General features: G+C 52.0%; 1 annotated feature.

The window, feature by feature from the left end:
• Nucleotides 272-1117: an enhancer, noted in NCBI's record as "H3K4me1 hESC enhancer chr1:4519759-4520604 (GRCh37/hg19 assembly coordinates)". NCBI's record gives its function as "activates a minimal SCP1, AML or CMV promoter by ChIP-STARR-seq in naive H9 embryonic stem cells {active_cell/tissue: H9 hESC(naive)}" and the evidence as "EXISTENCE:reporter gene assay evidence [ECO:0000049][PMID:30033119]".

Genomic DNA, 2049 nt, shown 5'->3' on the forward strand with positions numbered 1-2049 from the left:
CTTTTTTGTTGGAGCAGTTGAACCCATTTTACAGATGAGGTTAACTGAGGCTTGGTGAGACCCTCTAAGCAGTAAGATGTGGGATTGGATTCCAATCAAATGGTCGGTCTGACTTGGGAGTGCACTCTTGGGGCTCAAACCCACTGCCTTCTCCCTAATGATATCAGTGAGTCACACCTCAAAGAGAAATCAATGAAAAGACTGGCCAAATTCTAACCATTTTAGAGCAGTCTGGAAATATCAATGAGGGCACCTTAGGGGCAGGAATCAGAGACACACGGTTTGACGGGAAAAAGAAGGGCACAGCCACGAAACCCGTGTTTGAGTTCTGCCTGCGCCACCCACCTGGGGAGGTTGTTGGGCTCCTCAGAGCATTGTCGACTTTCTCTTCTTTAATTAGGAGACAATGACACTGACGTTGCACACCTCTATGAGGATTCAATAAAATAACATGGCTAAAGGGTTTAGAGCAAAACCTGAACCTAGAGAAATGGTTTAATAAATGAAGCAAACATCGCTTCTCCATCCAACCAGAAGGCCACTCTGTGATTTCCCTGTGGAACAAGCTAACCCCTCTAACAGCACCTCCCCAGGGCAGGTCTTGGGCACTGGTCACCTGGGCCCAGGCTGGCTCCCATAGGCAGAGAGTGTGCATAGTTGGGCCACCTGTACTCAAGAAGTGCCAGGGTCTGGGCTGGCCTGAGAAGAGGCATCAGCACCCAACAGCCAAAGCCACAGGAGCTGCTGCAAGGTAGCTGCAGATGGAGAGAGTTCAAGACCGGGCTGTGTGTGCATCTGCCGGGCTGTGTGCACATCTACCTGCAGGCTCACCCACCTAGACAGGCTCGGCCACCCTTGCATTCCCAGTCCATCCCACCAGCCTGGGAACAGAGCTGGGAAGGAAAGCAGGTGCCTGCTTGAGGCCCCTCTGGCCAGCCTGTCCCAGCCTCATCCTTGAGGTCCAAGGTCCTTGAGACACTCGGGGAAGAAGATGCAGAGAAATGGTGGATGAGGCGGAAAAGAAGGCCAAAGGAGGAGGCCATCCTATTACCCCGTCACTATTTTTCATGGGGTATAAAACAGGAAAATTAAAATGAGTGTGGTGCTAGTAGCTTAATGTAATTGAATGCTTAAGAAAAATGAAACTGGGGACAGGGATAGTTAGGGAACAATTTTAGAGACGGCTGAGTGGCAGGAAGGATCCCCGGCTCCTGTGGAAGAAGCCGTCCACCTTGTGAGATTCACGTTCTCTGCAACCCCAGTGCGGGGGCAGGTGCTGAGGTCCAGGGAGTCAGCGGGGCAGAAAGCACAGGCTGCCCTCAACCCCACCGGAGGCTGGGGAGGGCCTTGCAGGGTGTGTAGGAGGAGAACCAGACTGCGGCAAGTGCAAAGGCGTGTTCCCAGGATGGGCAGAATGTTCCGGAGGGCAGGGACCAGATGCCAGGAAGTGCTGCTTCTGAGAGCCAAGCCCCCGAGTCAGCTGGCCTAAAGGAGGCAGGAAGAGGGGGCGAGGAGGAGGCCGTGGGCACAGCCAGGCCAGTGACCCAGCAAGCACACAGGCACGGGGCCTACCGCCTTGCCACGGGTTTGCAAAACAGTTTGGGGGAAAAAATGGTTTTAAAATGTATGAGAAAACTGTAAAATCGATAATAACGATACTTTCAAAACCAAATAAGAATTTTTTTCCCCAAGAAATGTGCAAAGCAAAACGCACCCCGACGGATGGACTGGTCACACCTTTGGTGGAGGAGACGGAGCAGTGAGGGAGGAGCAGCCCAGGCCGAGCGAACTTCAGGCTGTGGTGGAGGGATCTGGCTTCTAGGTGAGGTGCTTGTGTGCAGTGATGGAGCTACTTTTTTCAAACTTTCAGACGCCAGCATCCTCATCAGAAAACGGGGATGATAAAATCGGTGAGGCTGTTTGAAAGCCAAACTTAGTGAGACTCAAGTTCTATGTGAGTGTCCAGCCCTCTTATTATTAAAATAATAATAATAAGCTCTGCTTTCAGCCCTGGGGACCGCGGAGCCCTTCAGTCTTCTATCTACTGTG

Source organism: Homo sapiens, chromosome 1 (genome assembly GCF_000001405.40).
Source record: "Homo sapiens chromosome 1, GRCh38.p14 Primary Assembly".
Classification (NCBI taxonomy): Eukaryota; Metazoa; Chordata; class Mammalia; order Primates; family Hominidae; genus Homo; species Homo sapiens.